This window comes from Homo sapiens, chromosome 8 (genome assembly GCF_000001405.40).
Source record: "Homo sapiens chromosome 8, GRCh38.p14 Primary Assembly".
In the NCBI taxonomy this organism is placed as follows: domain Eukaryota; kingdom Metazoa; phylum Chordata; class Mammalia; order Primates; family Hominidae; genus Homo; species Homo sapiens.
In genome coordinates, this window is record NC_000008.11 from 81,027,313 (window position 1) to 81,051,952 (window position 24,640).

Sequence of the window (24,640 nt, forward strand, 5' to 3'; positions counted from 1 at the left end):
ATTTTTAAAAAGACGAACAAATGCATCATCAAAAAGATTGTCTAACAAATACATTTTAAAAGACTGAGAAACTTAAAAACAACAAAGCAGATAATACGTGTGAATCATGTCACAAGTGGTGGAGTAAAGGACCTGCTTTTGTTACATAAGATTAACCCTTACACAGGCTACATAAAAAGGGATTTGCAATAATCCAATGCTCTACTGTATACTGACACTACTACGGATAGAATTTTAAAAGTCTCATAATTTATATTATGTAGTTTTTATAAAAATATCCAGGGAGCTGTTCTTAAGAATATAGGCCAAGAGGCCGGGCGCGGTGGCTCATGCCTGTAATCCCAGCACTTTGGGAGGCCGAGGCAGGCGGATCACGAAGTCAGGAGATCGAGACCATCCTGGCTAACATGGTGAAACCCTGTCTCTATTAAAAATACAAAAAATTAGCTGGGCGTGGTGGCGGATGCCTGTAGTCCCAGCTACTCGGCAGGCTGAGGCAGGAGAATGGCGTGAACATGGGAGGCGGAGCTTGCAGTGAGCTGAGATCACGCCACTGCACTCCAGCCTGGGCGACAGAGCAGGACTCCGTCTCAAAAAAAAAAAAAAAAAAAAAAAGAATATAGGCCAAGATTGGGCAGCCATGAGAAATTTCTCTTTAAGCCTAAAGACGAGGGTCCCCCACAGCTGCTGTTGGGGCTGCTGGGTGTGGGGCAGGCTCTCCCACTCTCTAGCTCACACTGTCTGTGAACACAGCAGCCTGGCACACATGCACACACACAAGGTCCCCAGACACCTGGGGCTATCAGGGCCCATCATATTGTGCAGTCTCTGTGCTCAGGGAGAAGTGGGAACACATAGCCTCAAGAAGCAGAAATGCCAGGCCTCAGTCACAGCCAGCTCAGTTTCCAGTTCACGGTTTGCATGCTGCTTTGAGCCTTTGCTTTTACAGTTGTTGCCTTTAAAGTTCTGAACATTTGGAGCATGGCTCCCTCTCACTAGCAGTGCATCTCTTACCTCAATGCACATCTTTAAATGCGTCTTTTTTCTCTTATCTTTGGCAGCATACACTTGCTTCTGTGAACCACCAGATGACGTACATAGGCTAATTTTCATTTGTACCAATGTGAATGCTGACGTACAAAGGGCAATATCAAAGCAGGTCTAGTGTGTTCATCAAGTATTTCTAAACTTTCATGATTTTAATTCTTGTTACTACAGTACTTGGATAGGCATACTGCATCTTAAAGACTTTTTTCATGTAACACAGGCATAATGCAATGTGAAGAAAATTATCACTGAAAGGAAAACTGTTTCTCCAAATTATGACTTACGTCTACAGTAATGAGAAGCTATTAAAATAGATTTTTGCAAAATCTCTAAGCTGATCTGCTGCTTAGAATTTTGAGATTTCCCACTGCTCTGCTATTTTCCCATTCTGTACGCACAGCACAGATTCCTGCCAAGCCTATTACAGTGAACAAACAATGTCCTCTCTGTCAGAACAGAGAATGAATAGTATCACAAAATTCTCCTCTAATGTACAGCCTACATTTCCCTCACCCCAAGCCCTTCAGAAGAGAATAACCAGGATGAGGACCGAGGAGGAAAACAGGACTCTCCCCTGGCCAATCTGAAACTGCCTTCCAGAACACTAAGGGCTAGGTAGTATCAACCATATCATATTAACTTCTAAACAGAGAAAGTTGACAAGTTTATTTTCTTTTAAGGGGGATCATATGTTTTTGCATTTCTGTGTGCGGGTACACAAATATCTTTATAAGGAAGGAGGTGTTTCATCAGATAAAACAAGACAGCTTTTAGCTACAGACTGAGCAGCGACAGGGGAACTTCATAGAAATGACACAGCAATTTGTGCTAAAACATTGGCAGCTAATTCATGAATGCCAAAGCTGACTATGAATTCAGCTGCTTCTGTTAAGCCTTTATTCCCACTAAGCTCATGATTCACAAAGAAAGCGCCTAGAGTTACTCCTCTGAAACCTATAGTATCATGCTGACAGATCCTTCTTTGGTCTCTCTCTCTCTCTCTCTCACACACACACACACACACACACACCCCTCCCCACAAGAGGCATTAAAGATATGATTTCCAAAACAAGAACTTCATGAAGCATTCCTCACAAACCAATGAAAGGCTTACTAAAGGCTTACTTAGCAGGTATTTTCATAGAAGAACATGGAGTTCCTTAAAATCTTTCATACTTGTCTCAGTTGGTGTAAAATATTATGATTCAGGCTTTTCCCTCTTGTGACATGAATACAGCATATATTTTATTTTAACCTCTAAAGGAAACTACTCATTTTTTTCCTCATAAAGGATGAAATGTTATTTTCATAATCGAACCCCGCTGGCTTTTGTGTTCACGAGTATCTGTAACACGAAGAAAAAAGGCCAGCCTCTTCTTTCCTCCTCATTTCCCACACATTTTTCGTACAGCTCAGTGAGCTCCCAGATTCTGATGGCATTCTCCTGGTAACACATTTAGAAGAGGCTGCAGGATACCCCAACAGCACTGCTTTCTTCTCTCTCTCTCCCTCTCTCTCTTTCTCTTATGTCACTCTAGGTCTGTATGAGACTAAACAATTAAACCTTTGTGCTGTACCACTGCCATTCAAAAATTCTAGTGATGTGTCCCTTTATTGGTACAATGGTAATATTTACCTTGGAGGAAATGTTTGTCCAGTAGAGTATTCCAAGTTCTGGCAATGTATTCCCTTTGAAATGTTGTGGTGAGAGTTCTCTCTTCTTTCTTGGCCTATAGCCAAAGAGAAGGAAAGTTAGAAAAAAAGGCAGATGGATATACACTGTGAAAGATACTTGTTCAGTTCACTGTAAAAATGCTAGTGTACTTATGCCAAACACTGAGATTTATATTCTTATATTCCTTCCTGAACAAAGCAAACTGAAATGTAGAGGCACAACTATAGACAGTAATAATTAAATAAAAAAATTTCAATAAAGAAAACTTCCTATCTCCCCATCCACCCAAAAATTTTTAATAAAAAAGCCACGTAAGTGTCTAATCAAATACAAATCAATTTACTTGCTCTTTCTATATTTTTCCTAGTTTATGCCAAGTAAACCTCTGTGTTACTACAGTGATACTAAAATTCAAATAACTGTTTTCTGAATTTGAAATAAAACAAGTGATTTATTTGAAAAGAGCATTTATACTTTTTGGTAAGGTAAGCTGTGATTCAGTTCTGAAAATTTCTTATTAGAAGGAGACTTTGGTGCAGCGTGAACAGTGTCACCTGGACGACATGCAGATCTAGCCCCGAGTTGTCCCTTCACGCATTCTGCTGTGGAAATGGGGAAGATGTTCAGAAAAGAGAGGCTACATGGGCGACTTCCCTCGCTCTCCCTCCTGATTCAACAGCTCCCCAATCCTACCTGTTGTTCTGCTGTTTTTGGTGCCTAGCCCTTCCTCCTGCCCCCTTCCTCTCTAGTTCTCTTCCCATCCTCAAATAAGTCTCTCCCATATTGAACACTCACTTTACATAAGACACCATGACAAGTGCAGTAAGAAAGGGAGGAGGGGAGAGGGACGGAATGAATGAATGAACGAACGAACAAACGGATGAAAGAACGGCTGTGTTTATGCTCTAAGGAGAATATCTTGGCTGTTGACTAAGATTCAGAACCTCTCAATCATTTTAACCAACTGAGGCATAATTCCTGATTTCTGACATAACAAACGGAGTGGAACGTGAGCCTTCTAGATTTGCATCTACTGATGTTCTTTTGTTAGAACCACATATTATCATCTTAGACTGTGTGTTGCTTTCTCTGATAGCAGAGTCAGCAGAATATTTATATTATCTTGAGGTATATCTATTGTTTCCCTGACAGTTAGAAAGTGAGAAACTGCTGTCTTTTGTTTGCCACTGCATTTAGCTACATTATTATTTTCTTTTAATAAGTTTAAAAAGATCAGAACAAGACACACAATCATGGGCTGTCTTCTTCTAAGCCGACTCCAGGTCTTTCTGCTGTCAATCTCATCAACTAGGAGACAGAGCTTCGCTGGGTGCAGGGCTTGATAGACAACTGAGTTCCCAAGCCATCGTTCCACTCTTTTATTAGACTTCAAGTCAAGCCTCCTTCTGAACCCCTGCCATGCAGATATATTTAGATGTGGATTCCAACCATAAACCTCTCCACTTTTTCTTGTCATCATGGTCAATCCAGGGAATTCTCCTGAATTAGCCAGAAATATGAGCAAGATTTAATTATCTAAATCAAATTGCTGCAATTAAAAGGTAAAATTTAAAGAACTAACAATTTTTTAAAAAATGTCAAATTCTATTAATGTGTATTAAAAATAATGTTTGGATGTGCTTTCTCTATCACCAGATATGAGTAAGATCCTGACTTGAAAACTGGAGACAAGATTTGACAGTTAATTTAATAATATAAAAATGGTGCACAGTTTTGAATTTTCAAAATATACATTTTGCGACTTAAAAATATTCCAACGAAACAAGGTCATCAAGACACTGTGGTGCAGTCATAAGGATAGACATACAGATCAATACTTTAGCATCCAGGAATAAACCCATATATTTATATTCCTTCAATTATATGGCCAGTTGAGTTTTTGGCAAGGGTGCCAAGACTATTCAACGGGGAAAGAACAGGCTTTTTCAACAAATGGTTCTGGAACAACTAGACAGCCATATATAAAAGAATAAAGTTGGATCCTTAACTCAGACCGCAGAAAAAGTTAATGCAAAATGGATCAAATACCTAAATGTAAAAGCGTAAACTACAAAACTATTAGAAAAAAAACCAAAGGGCTAAATCTTCATGAGCTCAGATTTGGCAGAGGCATGTGACCCCAAAAGCACAAGCCAACTAGAGAAAAAGCAGATAAACTAGATTTCATTAAAATAAAAATATTTGTAATTTAAAGGACAATATTAAGAGAATGAAAAGACAACCCAAAGAATGGGAGAAAATATATGCAAATCGTATGTGATAAGGGACTTATATATGGAATATATAAATAACTCTTATAACTCAATAATAAAAAGACAACCCAACCAAAAATGGGCAAAGGATCTGAAGAGACACTTCTCCAAAAAAGATACACAAATAATCAATAAACACATGAAAAGATGCTCAACATCACAACATAAGTAGCCATCAACAAAGTGCAAATCAACCACAATGAGATACCACTTCATACCTTCCTAGTGATTTGCTCTTGGCCATAATAAACACGTCTAAGCTAATAACAAGTGTTAAGAGGATGTAGAGATATCAGAACCCCATGCCCTGCTGATGGGAATGTAAAATAACGCAGCTGCTTTGAAACAGTCTGTTAGTTCCTCAGAATGTTAAACAGAGAGTTACCATGTGACCCAGCAATTCCACTCCCAGGTATATAGCAAAAGAAATGAAACTATACGTCCACACAAAAACTTGCACATAGATATTCACAGAAGCATTACTTGTAATACCCAAAGAAGTAGAAACAATGCCCCTCAACTGGTGAATGGGTATATACAAAATGTGGTATATCCATACAGAAGAATAGTATTCAGCCATAAAATAGAATAAAATACTGGTACATGTTACAACATGGATGAACCTTGAAAACATGCTAAGTGAAAGAAACCAGTCACAAAAAAATATTATATGATCCTGTTTATAAGAAATGTCCAAAATAGGCAAATACATAGAGATAGAAAGTAGATTTGTGTTCCTTAGGGCTAGGGGAGAAGGGGTGATGAAAATGTCCTAAAATTGATGGTTGCACTTTAAATGGATGACTTGTATGGTATGTGAATTGCATCTAAATAAAGCTCTTATGAAAAATAATATTCCAAGGATTTGGATGTTATAAGTAAGCATCAGTCATTTTTCAGATCAGTCTTAAAAAAAAATGGCAAACCCCAAAACAATTTTAGCTGGAATCATGGGAGTTGTTACACTAAGCAGATAACCTAGCTCCATTGCAAACTATCATGCCCTGACTGGGACAACTTGAGTATAATTCTGATAGACCAAACACTTCTTCAGGTCTCCTTTCATCTTGCTGATTATTTCCAAAGGTGATAGAGATAATTAGGTTATCAGGGTATAGAGATAATAAGGTTAATCACTGCAAATGATTATTGACCCAATCAAACAGAAATCCCATACCTTCAATATTGATTTCTTTTTCCACCGAATGGAATTTTAGGACTTCTGATACTGACGATTTAGTCAAACATGACCTCTCCCTGAAACCCACATATCCTGTCCATGGAATGCCACGCCCAGCAGTTTCTGTTACATCTGGCTCTCTGACAGTTTTCATGAGGACGGTTGGTGACTTCTTAATACTAATGATGACATTCATAAGAAGGCCCAAGCAAGTGAACTCCAGTTCAGGATGTGTTTTTACCAAACTAACCTGAACTCTTGTTCTGGCTAAAGCCACCCAGCAGAACTGAAACAGAGCTCCATTCTGGGACACTGAAACCCTGAGGGATGAGATGGGCACCTGACAGATGGCCTGGGCTGAGCCCCCGCTGGCAGTGCTGAGGAGGGTCTAAGGAAAGGAGTGTTTTCTCGAGGTTATATCCTAACAGTCTCTTCTGGGGAAGGAGTAATGATGTTGAGAGTGTATCTCCCTGCTATCTGGGTAGACAAATACAGGGATTGAGGAGAATAGACTTCAGCAATCTACTCCAAATTCATGTCTGACTTTTAAAAACTGTACCTGGAGGCAAGATAACTACTCAGTATGAGACCAGAATCATGAAACTCAATTACAGATTCTCAAATTTAAAAGAAACTTAAAGGTCATCCATAAATCAACCCCACTTGATACTTGAATCCTTTCTACAATGTCTGTGACATCTCATCGATAACTGCCATGTCAAAAGGACTTGGTTAAATAGAACAGTTCAACGTACTGAGCATGGAATGAATCACAGTGCTTGGAATATAGTAATTGCTCAATATTTATTCACTGATTGAGTGAATTCATTTTAAAAAAATCAGAGTAGGCTCAAGGATGTTGCTATAATAAAACCTCTCTCACTCACAGTCCCTGAAGACAGAGAAGAGAGTAGGATTACCGGCTGCTCATGACTGGCATACTGCTGCAGCAATATTTCCCACATGCAAACATCATTCCAGTAAATACAATACTTTATCTATGTTGCAATGGAAATAAACCAATAAACAAAACTTAGACCTGCTAATCTACCTATGCTGAATTCCCTGCCACAATAAAGGGCTTCCTCCATCCCAAGGAATCCCTTTCTGTCTCTGAGAAGTGTTGTTAAATTTGAGCTAGGAGTAAGAAAGGTTCTTCTGTGCTCCAGAGGCTTAGTGGCTTCAACCTTGTTTGAGTCGTGGTTTTAAGGTCTAGGGCCATGCAGAGCAAGTCCAATAGTTCCCTGACATGGCAACCCTTCAGATACTGGAAGACACCTATTTAAAGAAGTTCCTCTTCCCCTGCTCTTGAGCTTTCCTTCTCTATTCCAAAGAATACGATTTCATGTACCACCTGCCATAACTCAAAAGAACACAAAGGCTGCCAGGAGAAGGGAGCGGGTCCCTGGCCAGGTCTGCTCACAAGAGCAGAGTAGAAGAGCCTGCTGCAGCTACAAAGCCCAACCTGGGAGGGGAGCCCAACAACCAAGCACAACCTCCAAGGAACAAGGCAACATCGACCTGATTTAGGAAATAACCCTTATTTGGGTGTCGGTGGTGGCGGTGGGTGGGGATTTTTGGGGCCCAGCTATCGCAGGGAGGCAAAGCTATCAGCAAAGAGTAAATAGGTTGGTGAAGTCAGGAGGGTCGTCCATTACCATCCTGGAGGTCTAGTCACAGCAACAGAATCTAGCCACTGAGCAGCTACTCAGAGTAAGAGCCACAGTTCTCAAGAAGATCACCTGGCAAGACCAACACAGACTATGAGACCCAAAGAGGATCTTCAGTCCCAGACGCTTGGTTACACAGACACAGAAACAGCTGAAACTTGGAAGGCCAAGGAGTAAGGATTATGGGAGCCTGAGAATCATCTTAGGATACCAGAGCCTACATCTGCATGACAATAACATCGCTGGAATGTGACATAGTCATCCTAGTGTTCACTGGGGCAATAACATCTCAACATGGGAGATTCAGCAAACAAACACAGCTGGCATTGGGCAAGATACTACTGTGGGCGAGGCACAGAGAGAGTATAATTAGTGATGTGCTCCAGTGGACTGTGGGGTAGGTTTAAACATTTAAAGTGTTTTCTGCTTTAGTCAGAACAAATTCAGATTTGGGGAGGGCAACGATGGCACATGCAAGAGGAACAAATAGTGAGGGAACAAGGAAGGCAGGAGGAGATGTACTGGGGGCTGGCACTGTCATTTTCTGGATGTTCTCTTCTAAAAGATCAAGCTCAAAGGCAATTCTCCAGGTGAAGAAGCACTTCATCAGTGAAGAGTGGAACAGGTCTCTTATTTCTGTCCACCCACATTATTTAGAAGGCCAAAGATCACAGAAGCCTTTTTAACAGCTACCCTGACACACATACACACATATATACACATGTGTATATATGTATTAACATATATATACATGCATATATACACAGTTATAAACACATATTAACACATGTGTATATACATTTATATTTGACTAAAATCTAAATTTCTGTGAAATATGATGCTGCTAAGCTTCATCTCTCCTTACTGTTCCTTTGCAATTTAACTGGGGGAGCAGGGTGTTTATACTGATCCCTGTGACATTTCTGCTTCTTAGATTTGGGTCACTGTGTTAAATGTCAAGATGGTCCTAATTCTGTTTCCATCAGTTTTTACATCTGCTATCTCTCCCAACTTTGGGGCATGCATTTATACAGTTTTACTCATGTGAGGCCTAATGTGGACTAAGACTGGATAAAGTTAAAATACCAAAAACCTCTCTTCAGGAAGAGAGCAATTTATTAATCAGTGCTCTCTGGATATGCCTACCAAACCAGTTATTAACCCAGCTAATTACACACATTCCTTATTTGTCCAAATACTAAATGTTAGCAATTTGATATACTTTTGGTAGAAAAAAAAATGTATCCTTAAACTAATGCATGATATTTCTCATTAACCTGTCTGAATTCCCTGACAGGTTTAGTACATTATCAATATAACAGAGATCAACCTCAAAGTACAGATATTTCATTGATATTTCAATATTCAGTCCATAGTAATCATGCAAGAAAACTGTATTAAATATGCTCAATGACACAGCAATTAAAGAGGTAGCCAAAGACAATGCATATGGGCTATGATGCACTGTGCAATATTGGAAAAACATAACTAACAACGCTTCTGCCTCCCTTATCCTCGGATTCTTGTTTTCATCAGCCGCTCTTCTCCCCCTGCTAAGCTCCCTCATGTTTCCTGGGGCTGCTTTTTCTTGCTGCTTCTCCCAGCTGTGCCTCTCGTTTTTTCCACTCCCCAGCTGCTTTGGCTCACACTTTCAGCCTTTCTGGTATTTACTGTGTTAACAGTTCTAGTCTTCATGCCATCTGATGTCTCCTGTTTCATTTTTCACACACTCGAACAGCTGAAATCCCTGATGTATGCAAAGCAGCAGTCCATTAAAAGAGGGTTTTCTGGGTTTTATTTTTTTTTCGTTGAGTACAGAAAAAATGGAAGCAGCAAGAAAGAGTAGTTCACAGAGCTGCCAAAAGAGGCCACTGTGAAGATAAGATGAAGGCAAAATATAATAATAATCAGATTTCTTTAGGCATCAAAAAGATTATAAGTATGACACCGGAAAAATAGTTCTTTCTGCAAATCCTCTTCAGTGGTGTGGTTTAATGAAAACTCTGTAATCTCCTTTCCAAGAGGACCATAATTTTCTTGAATTCTAGGAAGCTGAAGATAAAAATCCTTAACGATGTATCCTTATACTATCTACAACATACAGGACTCAGGTAAGACAGATACAGTTATAATACATACATTGATTTTTTTAAAATGACATTTTACTAGCAAAAATCTTCTATTTCTAAGCATGCTACCTGGAAAGAGGCTTAAAATGCCATAATTTAGTATAAGCCTTATCCGTATGCATCCATCCCAAGTGTGGCTTGGATATGAATTCCTTGCAGTTTCAATATCAGCAGAGAAGTAATCAAATGACCGAAGTGTTCAAAACAGGAAAAGAAATCTTTCTTGTTGGCACAGAATAGAATAGTTTATAATGTGCAGCACGATGTGTTTAAGAGAAGCTCTATAGCATGCTTCTCAGGCATCTGAATACAAAGTAAGATTAGATTCAGTACTTAAATGTTGCTTTAGTGAATAGAAGACATATAAATTGACTCCTCTAATTATTAGCTTATAAATTGATAGTAAAATACAGAATTTAAAACATCTTCTTTTAGGCAATGTAAATAAGCATGAGATAATAGCCAGCACAACTACAGAGGATATTCATTCAGTCATTTGTTCATTTTCTTTATTCACCTCTCAATGTTATTTCCTTGCTTATGAATACAATGAACAAAAAGTAAATATTATTCCAGTCCTTTCCACTCTGCACATTTAGGAACTTTCTTTTGGACTGGGACTTTAGCTGTCATTTATAGAGCTTTGATTGTCTTGGCCTAATGCACATGCCCTATCCTGCCATTGTGCATCATGGGCAGCTAACTGGGTAGCCACCTGGAACACCGGGTTGTCTCTCACAAAGCCTCAGGTCTGCCTCAGGCATTTCCTGATGAGAAACAGTTCTCTGACTTCTAAGTTATCTAATCTGGGGATCACTCAAGGGGTTATGGGGTTGGAGGGTTGCTGCCCCAGCAGAAGTTGTGTGAATGGGTATGCATGTCGGCGGGGAGGGGCAGGCAAGAAAGACTTCCCTTTCCCCAGGAAGCCGAGAAAGTTGTGGGGTCAGTAACTAACTTGAAGTCTGCCCAGGTATGTGTTTGAGATGCCAAACATTCACAAAAATCTGCTGTGAAGTTCCTCTGCTATGAAAAGTCCCAGCCACGGGGTAACTTCCCAGCCACAGAAAGGACCCTGGCCTCCGTTCTTGGGGTTCTGCAAAACTGGCTGGGCTGTTTGTGTTGACCTGAGGCAATGGCTCTGCCTGTGGGGTCAAGAGAGAGACATTTAAGCTCTGGTTATTCGCCTGGCAGCTTCCACATTTTGAAAGATTGTTGTCCGTAAAATGCCTGAGTTTCAGAGGGGTATGCAGGGCCGTGTGTGAACTGGGGGTTGGTAGGTTGGCATTTTACAGATGGACCATATGGGATAAAGTAGTTTGAAGTGTCTTCCTTGCTCCTTCACACTCTATATATGTAATGAGTACATATATATGTATGTGTGTGTGTTATGAGAGAGAACACACACACATTTGACCACTTCAATCTTAGACTTTCAATGCTGCTTGCAGATACCACAACAGAACTCTGCCATTGATAATGTGCCCGTGTGTACACTCTCGCATGACTTAGGGTGGTTTTAAGAGATGCTAACATATGTATGACATTTAGTTTCTCTGAAGGAAAGTAACTACTAAATGATCTACATGGAACTTTAGAGAAATTCTGAGACATTCAGTGAGATGTAATGCTCACTATCACAGAGATAGTCAAGGAGATTCACTTGAAGGGAAATGACACATGAACTAATGTATGTTTAAACACCCTAACAAGAGTTTTGCAATAGTTAAGTGCCCAGTAAATGTTAGCTACAGTATGATTGGTAAAATATGGTGTTTAGAAGAACTACAAGTATCATGATGGACTCTAATAAGAGTCCATGTTCACAGGGTGGCCACAATTAGAGAATCTTATACTCTGTGTGTGTGTGTGCATGTGCCTATGTGACGCTTTTCTGAGCCTGTTAGGTTTGATTTATGTCCCCCAAAATTCATGTCTCTAAGTCCTAACCTCCAGGACTGCAGAATGTGACCTTACTTGGAAATAGCATATCACAGATATACCATAAGTAGTTAAGATGAGGTCACACTAGAGTAGGATGGGCCCCCATATAATGTGATTGGTATATTTATAAAATGGGGGGATTTGGACACAGGGACACCCACACAGGGAGAATCTCATGTGAAGCCTGAAGGTATGCTGCCATAAGGCAAGGAACTGCAAGCAACTAAGAGACAGACCTGGAACAGATCCTTGCCTAGAGCCATCAGAGGGAACACGGCCCTGCCGACGCTGGGATCTCAGACTTGCAGCCTCCAGAATGGTGAGACAATCAATTCTGGATGTTTAAACCACTCAGTTCATGGAACTTTGTTATGGCAGCCCTAGAATACAGGGTCAGTGCATGAAAAGATGGTCAAGTTACCTAATATTCCAGTCCTGACTTAAAGACACAGAGATTAGGGTAAGGAAGGTAATTCTCATTACTTTACATACCTCATATCAAGAGGTTTACACATCAATCCATCTGCTATATGGAGTTATTTCTTAATTATATAACTTCAAATGAACATCAAAATAACAGGTAGGTTCACGCAATTCATTATACAATTTCAAAGAGGGAATCTGCATTTTCAATTGTATTTTTTCCAGTGATAGCTTGAGAGATGAATGACCAAAAAATATGCAGCATACTTAATGAAACAGCTTTCAATAATTATTTTAATTGTGAGGAAAAATTTTAAAGAGCTCTGTAAGAATTTATATCAACCAAAATTCCTAGGGAATTTTTTTGCTTTACTGGGACACAGTATCTTAAGACTGATATGCTACATCACTTATTTTCTTAGACTCCCCTCTTGGTTAATTCATGTCTTTGAAAAGTCACTCAAAATTCATGCTTATGAGTCCACCCTGTTTCTCTATGTACATTTTTTCAGCCCTTAGTGTATAATGATGTTTCTGTTCTATTGTTTAGTACTTATGTATATTTCAGAGTTATATTAATATACTTTAGAATTAGAAACAAACTCCATGATATTTCTGTTCAGTCTCTAAATTTAGTGGCAAGGAAACTGAGCCCTGGCTGTAATCACACGGCTATCTGAGGTCTGAGCCACAAACATAACCCAGGCCACTTTTCATTACCTTCACCTCCACCTCCATTGTGGTGGCTTAGCCATTTCACCTACGCTACCTGTGCTTCTTCCCCTAATCAGGTGATTTGGTGTTAGAACTGGTGCCTTAAAAAAAAACAACAAAAACCCTCATCCAAAGATTCTTCTGCAATGCCATGTCCCGATGAGGCATATCAAAATGCTTGCTTAAATGTGGAATATTTATGATATAGCTACATATGTATAAGAAGAGATTAACCAGTTATCATATACGACTGTTCTTCAGTACATTATTATTTTTTAAGGCTCTTCCATTTATTTACTATCTAGAATATATTTCTTTCAAACTGATTTGTTTATAGAACAAATTGGTATTATGTATACCCCATGTTTTACTTTATTAATTGTTTTGATATCCAGACTAATGGCATTTTAAATGAGATGTGAAATTTGGACTTTACTACTGCAGACCTTTGGCTATCTAGTCAAAGAAGGAATATGGGCTCACCTGGTTGATCAAATAAGGGTAGAAGAGGAAAGAGAAGAAGGAAAAAGAGAGGAAAGGAGAAGGAAAAAACAGACGTGAAAGATTGTAAACTCCCTTGTACAAAAGCACGATGTCTATTACAGTTGGTAAAAATCATGACAACAAATGCTCGCGAGGGTAACATGGCCGCATCTTTGCATGGAAAACTGAAGCAGCAGACAGCAGTTTCCACATCGATCTGCCAAAATGGAGAAAACTAGTGTCACCCACAGAAGAAGAAAGAAGGAGAAACAAAAACACCCCTTGAATCTTAACTGTGAGAGCGAGGAGCAAGAAATATAGGAGCAGCCTCCACCCTGTGGAATCACATTTTTTTTTTTGTCTGTCATCAACAGGTGTTGCCATGGTAACTATCCTTTAGTTAAGAAGTAGTACAGGCAAGAAAATCTATACAAAACCACAATAGAGGGACAAAATAAGAAAGATATATTATAGCCAAACTAACCTCAGACCTACCAGAATGAGCAGCCAGAGGCTTGACTGGCCATTTACCAGATCTTCATGTTATTTGAAAGAGATGCTGGAAGGAGAGAAGATGTCAGCCCAGATTATGGTCCCAGGAGGAACCAACACCAGGGAAGTATTGCGGGGGCTGCTGTGGCTCTCCATTTATCTTCAGTTCCACTTTATATCCCTATTCCCATTTGTACATTTTAGCTCTTTGATGACTTTGCGGAGGAAAGCTGCAGTTGTGCAGTGTTATGTCTGGAAACTTTTAAAAAGTAAACATATCACTGAATGACTTCTTGGTTATACTTCTACCTCTTTTAGGTAGTACATTTAGTAATAATTTCTCCATTTTCTCCCCTTCAGATGGAGAACCTCAGGATTGCATGCTACGAATTAGTGAAATAATTAATAGCTAATTCTTCTTATGAACAACTATTGCCAATATTTGTAGGCCAGGTACCAGGAAATACCTCAGAGTCTGGCTGGGATCAAAATCTCATTTCTTTGGCTCTTTCTCCATTGCTCACGGCTCACCATAATATCCACAAGTAGTACCATGAATGAGGAAGTAACACTATCTCTGAAATTAAATTCTGCATTTTTACTTTGTAAGCTATTGTTGGTGGTCCCCCAAAGGGTGCAATCTTATCCCCTTTATCTACCAAACTTCTTGTTGTTCAAATGACCACTCTGCTTTATAAATAAATGACATAGATTAGTATACTTTGCTAACTTCTGTGATTCTTCAAGATTAAGGCAGGTGACAGAACAAGATTTGGGAAGATGAAGTCTGAAAGGTTTAGCTCGAGAGACAAATCCATGGGGTACCAACTATACTCTGCTGAGGCCATGCAGGCATCAGAGTGTCATAGAAAACAGAGTCTATGCCTCACCAGTCAAGGCTCTTGCCCATTTCTGGGACTCAGTGTCCCCTTCCATAAAGACATGGAAGCATTACCTCAAAGGGTCAGTGTGAGGCTCAAACGAGATAATGCTGTGAAAGCATTTGATCACTAACTGCAAAACACTAGGCATATAAAAGCTGATTTGGAAATATGGTTGTCACTTGTTTTTCAAGCTTTCTGCTATGTTAACATTACCTTTAACACACTTTTTTTCTGATAAAATAAGTAGGCCATGACAATTTTCACATGATAATTTTGGCAGAAAATCTTTTTCCTCTTTATCATTTGGAGGTGCTTATCTGATTTGGACGTCATTTTCTTCTATGAGTTCCCTTTCTTTAACTTTTTGTTCAGGCTAGTAGATTTGTATCACGGGGTGGGTAGGTGTATGTGTGTGTAAAAGAGAAAGGGGGGTGAGGAAGGGAAGGAGGAACAGGAGAGTCAAGCGGAGATGGGAAAACACAGACAGGAACAAGTAAAGGTGTTAATGAAGAGAAGGGGTAAAGACTTTTCCCTCCCATTTCAGAGATAAGTACCTATCCCTGAGGTGTTACTTTGTATGTAATTTGTGGATCACTAGGGATAAGTCATTGGTGGCTGTTTTGGTGGCTGTATACACTCTTTAGCAGAAGAGATTCTGGGAATGACATTAATTTCTGCAACTGGCTCTCATCTCACGGCACTGTTTCTCCATTCTTATGCTGATGGGCTCCACCAATCATAGTTGAAGATGCATAAATCCTCCTATTTCTCAAACTAACACTCCTAGACCCCTTTTACAATAAAATACATACTTTCTGTCTTTTTTATTTTTTAATAGTTCCCTTTAAAATGTTGCCCTTTTGCTTCTGAGTGTTTTGAATTCATGCTATCCCTATCCCATCCCTTCCACCCCTCCTCTACTTTCCCCTCTTTACCACCCCACTGTTCACCACATTCGCCCACTGGTGAAGTCTCAAGTCTCATGGATTCTGTCTCCTTAAATGTTTTAGTAAATGTCCAGTTTTGGTATACTGCATGCTTACTGAAAAAGTTCACAGAACACACAGGATATAGAGTATTATGTTTTAAAAAAGAATATTCCTTTTCACTATATTCCCTAATCCCACAGGTAAGCACTGTTAGAGTTCAGTACAATACTTTAAAAAGGTCTGGAAAGATACAAAAATCGAAAGAGTCTTTCTTTCTTTGTTACATATATAGTACCCTATACTAGTCACTGTTCAACAGTTTCATTGTGTTCATTTACTGTGTGTTAGAGAATGTTCCATGTCAGTACATATAGGGTTATCTCATTCCTTTGAGTAACTATAGAACATTCAATGAATGGTGTGGTTATACTATAATTGGGCATTCTGTGCCAACGGATATTTAGATTATTTTTGGTTTTCCTCAATTACAAATGACATTACAATGATTAGTCCTGCATATATATCTCAGCACATGAGTGAGTATAGATAGGATTCCTAGACATGGAGTTGCTGAGTGAAAGGGCATGCACATTTTCATTTTATTCTCCTGCTCCTTACTGACCTAAAACCAAAGTTTTATTAATATACAGTATGTAATGGTAAAAGGGAATATAATCCTTTGTTCTTCTGGATTTCACTACCAATCAATTCATTTCTTTTAGTACCTTCTGGGAATTCTTAAATATCCTTCTCCACTGATGGTAGTTCTCCCTGACTTTCTAGTTTTGCTGTGGATGTGCAGATTTCTTTTTCTTCTTCTTTTTAAACTTGAAGAATCTGGAGTGTGAAGGATAAAGTAAACAGCCCACAAGGCTTCTTGAACGGTCAAGGCCAAGAGGTTCCCAACTACTCTTGCCCCTTTTGCATTCATCCTCCACACAACTCTCCAAGTGACTTTCTAAAATGCAAATATTAACACTTGACTTCCCTGCAGTAACATCTGAATGCCTGGGGGCAGTAATGGGTTGAATTTTGTCCCCTAAAAATGTTAAAGTCCTAACTCCCAGTACCTCAGAACGTGACTTCATTTGGAAATAGGGTCTTTACAGAGGTAATCAAGTTAAAATGAGGTCATTAGGGTAAGCCCTAACCCATTAGGATTGATGTCCTTACATAAAAGGTGGAAATTTGGATACAGAAACAGATGTGCCTAGAGGGAAGCAGATGTGAAGAGACACAGGGGAAATGCCATCTGAAGCCATAGGCAAAGGCTGGAATTTTGCTGCCACAAGCCAAGGAATGCCTGAGGCTACCAGATGCAGGAAGAAGCAAGGAAACATCCATCCCCTGCAGGCTTCAGAGGGAACATGGTCCTGTTGACATCTTGATTTTGGACTTTTGGCATCCAGAACTGGGAGAGAATACATTTCTACTGTTCTAAGCCACCCAATTTGCTTGCTTTGTTACAGCAGCCACAAGAAATTAAAACAGTGGGTCAAGTCCAACTCCTTAGAGATCTCACATAGCCCCTTTCACACACTGATGCACAGCCTCAGAATCCTCCTCACAACCTCTCCTGTAACCACCCTACTGTCTTATCTGCTCACATCCAAAGGCTCTAGGATGTTTCCTATGTCAGTGCATTTGAACACACTGGTCCCTCTACCTAAATTTGCTTCTCACATTCCCTAAGCATGACTAGTGTTCCATTGCTTATCTGCAGCTCCACCTTCTCCATGAGCTGTTTCTGGCACCCCCCTCCCCACCAGTCTCCCCGGGCATAACTGGCTGTCCTTGTAAGTGCCCCCTATGCTGCACCTGGAGTATTTTGCTGCTATTTTGCACTTGCTTGTTTATGCATACCTATCATCCACTCCTATGCTGCTCCTTGAAAGCAGAGCCATTCAACATCTCCTAGCAAAGTCACCACACACAGAATGTCCAAAGTGGGATTTCGCTGGGTGAACCATACACCAGTGCCATAAAAATATAACAACTATAAGAAATGTATCATGATTTTTTATTTTGTTAAACATGTCTCATGTAATGAGGTAGAGTATGTCAGGCTGACTGCAAGTGACTGAAGCACTCCACTGATAATGGCTGAAGAGTACTCTCCTAAGCACTGAATTTGTGGCTATTTTCAGGTTGTTATTTTTGATGACATTCATTCTTCTGGTCAATATCACTTAGAAACTAGATTTTGCCATCAGCTACTGCAAACTCTAACAGCTCCAACCATTAAATAGATGTGTCTGGATAAAGCTGCACTATGGTGCTTAGTCTCTGATGTCCACTGACTGTCTCCTTCATTAAAGAGCAGCTCACTAGAGACAGAAAGTAGATCAGTAGTTGCCTAGAGCTGGAAGGAGGGTGAGATGGGGAAATTGGAGGTGGGGTGACAGCCTAGGGGTGAGGGGTTTCCTTCTGGAGTTATGAGAATGTTCTAAAATTGATTGTGGTGATGGTTACACAGCTGGATATACTGAAAGCCACTGAACTGTATACTTTAAATAGGTGAATTGTACAGTATGTGAAAGATACTATATCTCAATAAGTTGTTTCTTTAAAAAAGAGTGGTTCATTCAACCCATCCCAAACTAAAAGGATTTCTGTTAAAACAAGCCAATTCTTTCATAAGCAAACATCCACACAGACAAAATAAAATAGACCTTCTGCATTAATAAAAAAGAAAAATACTGCAGCCTGTAATGTTTATAGTATCTGAAAGAAAACTTGACAGATAAGGATCTCTCATGTCAGGCCCATTTACTCTGAACCATCCTATTGCTTCAGCATTGGGCGTGTAACAGCATAACTCGACCTCACAACTTTCCTTTTGTCTTACATTATCCTGATTCTCTCCTCTTTTTCTCTGTGTCATCAGGGATACTCTTAAGTCGGTAAATATTAGAGCCGGGAAGGAACTAAGACATTCATTTGGTTCCAAAGCCCTCATTTTACAGATGATAAAATGACAGCCAAGAAGAGAATCCTAAAAACTTACCAAGCTTTTGGTCTTGGAGAGGATATCAGTTCCAGAGTGAATCCAATGACCTCTGTGCAAGGCAGTAATATTTGACAGTGTATCAGGCAAAAGAATGCATCTCTAATGCTTTGCAAACTGTTTAGCAAGCCTTCTGAATAAATGAAGCATTGGATGACTAAAAGCAGGCATCCTGGTGTTTATCCATAAACTGTTTAGTTTTTACCACCTATGATGTGAATACTTGTCACATCTCCCCAGTGAAATTTCAAACTCCTCAATGATAGGAAAGGCAGCTGATGTGCCCTTTCCCCCTTCTCTTATCACCATTTGATACCCAAAGCATTCAGCAAAGAGTTAACAATTGCTTTATGGGTACAGGACAGACCTATAGCAAAGTTTCATATTAAAATGTTTTTCTTTTTAGTAACATTGTTTTTGGGCAAACATAATTTAATGCACGGAATAAGAAAATCTATGTAGTAATCCTGTAATTGATTGTGACCACTCTTGGAAGCCCCGTTTCTAAGGTCTTTTTTTTAAATTTCCAATTTTTATTTTAAGTTCAGGGATACATGTGCAGGATGTGCAGGTTTATTACACAGGTAAACGTGTGCCATGGTGGCTTGCTGCACAGATCATACCATCACCTAGGTATTAAGCCCAGCATCCATTAGTTATTCTTCGTGATGCTCTCCCTCCTCCTACCCCCCAACCCTCCGGCAGGTCCCAGTATAGGCTGTTCCCCCCATGTATCCATGTGTTCTTATTATTCAGCTCACACTTATAAATGAGAACACTTGGTATTTGGTTTTTTCTTCCTGTATTAGTTTCCTGAGGGTAATGGTTTCCTGCTCCATCCCTGTCCCTGCAAAAGACATGTTTTCATTCATTTTTATGGCTGCACAGTATTCTATGGTGCATATGTACCATATTTTCTGTACCCAGTCTATCACTGATGGGCATTTAGGTTGATTCCATGTCTTTGCTATTGCGAATAGTACCGCAATGAACATATGTGTGCATGTATTTTTATAATAGAACAATTTACTTTTCTTTGGGTATATACCCAGTAATGGGGTTGCTGGGTTAAATGTATTTCTGCCTCTAGGTCTTTGAGGGATCAACACATTGTCTTCTACAATGGTTGAACTAATTTACCATCCCACCAACAGTGGAAAAGCATTCCTTTTTCTCTATAACTTCGCCAGCATCTGTTTTTTGACTTTTTAATAACAGCCATTCTGACTGATGTGAGATGGTATCTCATTGTGGTTTTGATTTGCATTTCTCTAATGATCAGTGATTTTGAGCTTTTTTTCATATGTTTGTTGACTGCATGTATGTCTTCTTTTGAGAAAAGTCTTTATTTTGGAGGAATGTATACAATAATCACTTAAACAGAAACAGAAGCCTTTAAAATCAAAAGGCTCTTGTCTCATGCATCTGGGCATGACCTGGTAAGCAGGATTCCATAGGGTCCACTCAGATGGACACACACTACAAACTTCAATTTTAAAAACTATCTCAGAGCTAAATGTCTTTTAGAGGTAGCTTCTAATGTAACCACAAACAAATTTTTACTATGGTAAAGGAAACAGCTTCTCTCTGCAACATATCCTTACATAGGTCATACACTCAGGAAATTATAGGCTCTTTGCTATCGAAATCTGATGATTAGTCATTGAGTTCAACATATAATTGGAGAGCCCATAGTTAAATGTAATTAGCCAAGATAAACTATAGAGAGAATCATGCAAATATATGAAAACCATTGTTAGAGTTCAGTGTTCTAGGATAAAGAAAAAAGTAAACCTCTCCTACACATGTTCACAAGGAAGTACTCAAATGCACCATTTCCGAAAGCTCCTTGGGTAAGGAACTCCCTAGTTCCTGTGGTTAGAACTTTCCAGCCCTCTGTAACCTGATTCACCAGCCTTGACTTCTTTCCAACACAAACTCCTCATCCCTGCTTGTGCCTTTGCTGATACCATTCATGACTGGAATGTTCTTCCCCCTTCTCCCCTGACCACTTAGCTCTAAGTCCTGACTGTCCTTTTTAGCAAGGCTTGTTCTTTTCCTTCTGCTCTTAGATTCTGCCCAGTTCACTTGACATCAAATATTATATTACCTGTCTTATATTGGGGGAGAATGCTTTTTTCCCTACACATTTCTAGCATATAATACCTCTCTTTCCATCTCTTCATTTACTCTACCCAAGGGGAGGTTGAGTGACATACATGTCTAATGGGCAATTTGGGGAAGCATCTCCTGGACTCAGCTCTTGCCTTCTCTCTGCAGGGAGTAGGGCTACCATCCATGAATATGAATTCTCCTCTGATCCTCCAGCAAATAATTTGAGTTGATTCTCTGGGCCCAGAGAGGCCTGCCCCAGCCGCTGTGACCTGTGCTTAATTCCTGGGTTCCATATTAGGAGAACAAATAAACCATGCCCTGCAGCCTGGCCTTTACAGATAATAAGGGTGATGTTTGAGCCTTATCTGACAATGATTTTATCTTATCTTTCAGTTTTTCTCAGAACTTGGGAAATTCAGGGTGGTTGTCATTATTATGATTTACATCAACGACGCTAGCATCATTCGTATATATAAATGTACATACATTTATTAGATGATCTTAAAAGCTGTTGTGAGATTGTGTCCCATCTCCCTGCCTGGACAAAGTTTTGTCTTATATTTCATAAGTCTTTGCGGCCCAGTGTTTCACTGCAATATATAATATACAGTACAAATAAACTCAAATGGGTTCAATCATTAATACATCATCAATTAAGGACATACAGAGAAAATAAAGCAAAATTTAGGACTACAATACTTGTGATTCTGGCTAACGATTATGACTTTATTAATGCATTTTTGGTGTCACTTAGAAGTGCTAGCATACAATCATTACAGGCAGGGTGAATATAAAATTAATATATGCTCTATACTGTGATCCTGCAGAGCAAACCTAATTACACATTGAGCAAGAAGAGAGAATAAAAGATAAGGCATATACCGATAGATTTTCTTCATCAAAACCCACAAACCCTCACTTCAACAAAGCCCTGTCATTAGCTTCACAACATATCTAAAAGTGAATTTAATGTGATATATGCCCTAATCTAATTTCCAAAGAAGTGACAGCAATAAGCCAGCTTCTCATTTACTTACATCTTAAACCTTTATATTATGTGCTACATTCTTTTGCCAACTCCTATTCACATGTACACAAAAAGCTATTAATGTACAATGCTGCAGAAAAATAATGATTTAGTTGTCTATATATGTTTTTCAATGTCCACCTATGAAAATGCAAAAGTAAACTAAGCACATAAAGGAATTACAATTATACCTAAATAAATATAGGGTTTAAAAAATGCTAAGTCAAATAATGTATGATAAATTGCTAATGTGTCCTCAATTTTACTGTGAGTGCATTAGCTTATTTTAAATATGCATTCGTTGAATGCTAACTGGATGCTAATACTAACAAACACTGGGCACTAATAAGCAGCACATAGCAAAATAATAATGCTAGAAAGGATTCCTTATATCACCATTTTCCAGTTTTCTAAAATGTGCCACGTTTTCCCTTTAATTCTCACAGTCTTCCATTAAAACGACAGGAAACATTGCCATGCCTGCTTTACAAATGGGGAAACTGAGACTGAGAGGTTCAGTGATATTACTGAGGACTAACAGGGCTGGTACTCCAGTCTAGACTGCTGACTCCCAGTAGTTAATCATACATTTGGAGATTCAGTAAATATTTACTGAGTACCTACCATACAACAAACCCCACGCTGGGACTGGGGATGGAGAAGGTCCCTCCCTGCTCTCCTGGTCTCTCCCCGAGTCTGCCCCATTTGACACAGGATGGCATGTTTAATGTACTATTTTCATTTTATATATGGATAAAAACAAAAATTAACTTGTAAATATTTTTCCTATAAAAACAAAACTAGGGAAAACTGCCTTAAAATTAATTCAACATAATCATTACTTTATAACTTAAACACGTTTCATTGCTATTCCTCGATGCTCAAAACAGAATGATAGTGTTGCAATTAAAATTGAGACTGTAAATTAAAAATATCCTTCAGCATTTTGCAATGAAGCATTTAATCCTCTTATTAAATGAATGAGAATTTAATCACATAAATTAGTCTACCTCATTCATATACCCAAATGTCAGAATTTATCTAATAAAGCAAACTTAGATTTAAACATTCACAGGAAGAGTGGTAAGAAGGTGGCTGGAGAAGACCCTCTTTGAAATTCAGTTTTGAGTTTTACGCATCTAAAATCACAGAGATCTGAGGTTCCAGCACCATGTTGCAGTTCTCAAGCCACAATTTTAGTATAAAGTTACCCCTTCATAAGTGTAGCTGTCATAAAATGCCATAAGACATGGGAGAGACCAAAGCTTAGTCCTGAAATAAAAAAAAAATGGTACTCACAGTCCTTTCTATCTGTATTTGTCTATAAGTTAATTCATGTGCGGTAAATACATTTGGATTTAAGGCATTTGGATTCCTTCCAGATAGGAAAACAGAAAGACAAGTAAACCCAGTGAGATAATGTAGAGAAACCCACTGAGGCAATGAAAGGAGAGAAGTAGGTGCTTGAGTCCATCAGCTGGTGAGTCAACTCCGCAATCGCATCCTCACATTCCTGCTGCATGAGCTGGCAGAAGCCAGTAGAACATGTGCTCATTCCAAAGGAAACACAAACTCACTGCCTTCAGCCTCCCAGAATCATCAGTCTTACAGAATTGAACAAGTAGAGAAGGTGGCCAAAGTGAATTTGAGTTGCCCATATTCTTCTATCACTCTCTTTCTCTACAGGATGGTGACTTTACGTTTGTCTTACATTTTACTTTTCTTGAGATAAAGCTTATACATATATATGCCTCTTAATGAATGCAGAATTATTTCTTATGCAGTGGGTTTTTCTCCATCCATCTGTAAGCTGTCTCTGATACTGAGTGCTGGGCTGGATGACGTGATGCCAGCTCTATCACATGCCCAAGTTAAGCCTGAAGGCTCTGCTCTTATGTAAAATGAGCACTACTGGATTAGTGTCCCTGTTAGATGTGATAAGAGGAAATAGAAAAATGAGAACAGAGAAGTCCTAATTTATATGAATCACAGGCAGGTGCCCTTTAAAAACGACTTAAGATTTTTGAAACCATCAGCCCCAAACTGTCACATAAATTTCTATAGAATGGCACATCTACTTAGGTATTTCTCTATTTGTGTTCGATTAATTAGAAATCTAAATCTTCTGTTCATCTTCCCACCTTTTTTGGCTTATTGCACATATATAAGATTTTGGCAACCCAGAAAAAGAAAAACATCAGAAGAGACCTAATTTATAAAAAGACTTCATTCCAAAAATTCAGTCATTAGGACGACTGAACATCCTTTCTCATTAGAATGATGAGAAAAGGAGGGTTTTTACATTCTTAAGACAAACAGGTCATAACAATTTTTGTAAAGTTAAACAACTTTATAGAAAACAGAGAAAACAATGAACATTAAACTCTATTGTACTCTGATGTTTCCTTTGATCTTTGATTTTATGTAAATATTTAGCAAGTTGCCATCAGCAAATACAGTGTCATGTGCCATTTTCAGTTACGTAAAAAATGCATTTCTATGTTTCAAAACAGCCTGCATAAATCATTTTAAAGACTATAAACTATTGGCCGGGCGCGGTGGCTCACACCTGTAATCCCAGCACTTTGGGAGGCTGAGGTGGGCGGATCACGAGGTCAGGAGATCGAGACCGTCCTGGCTAACACGGTGAA

General features: G+C 39.1%; 1 protein-coding gene across 17 annotated transcripts in view, besides 1 other annotated feature; it reads right to left on the reverse strand.

Annotated features, from left to right (window-relative positions):
- Positions 1-24,640, reverse strand: part of PAG1 (phosphoprotein membrane anchor with glycosphingolipid microdomains 1) — a 144,259-nt gene that overhangs the window by 59,503 nt on the left and 60,116 nt on the right. For 12 of the 17 annotated variants that reach the window (XR_007060746.1, XM_047421992.1, XM_047421991.1 and 9 more), the window contains 5 exons: positions 21,449-21,552; positions 18,848-18,899; positions 16,566-16,677; positions 3,197-3,324; positions 2,684-2,777 (listed from right to left, as the gene is read on the reverse strand). The exons of 1 other annotated variant lie outside the window; for it this stretch is intronic. The gene's annotated coding sequence lies outside the window, so the exon portion shown is untranslated. The remainder of the gene's footprint in view (positions 1-2,683; positions 2,778-3,196; positions 3,325-16,565; positions 16,678-18,847; positions 18,900-21,448; positions 21,553-24,640) is intronic. 4 more of the 17 variants (XM_047421983.1, XM_047421981.1, XM_047421984.1 and 1 more) reach the window with 4 other exon arrangements.
- Positions 7,945-7,994: an enhancer, noted in NCBI's record as "active region_27571". NCBI's record gives its function as "activates an Ori minimal core promoter by ATAC-STARR-seq in GM12878 lymphoblastoid cells {active_cell/tissue: GM12878}" and the evidence as "EXISTENCE:reporter gene assay evidence [ECO:0000049][PMID:35858748]".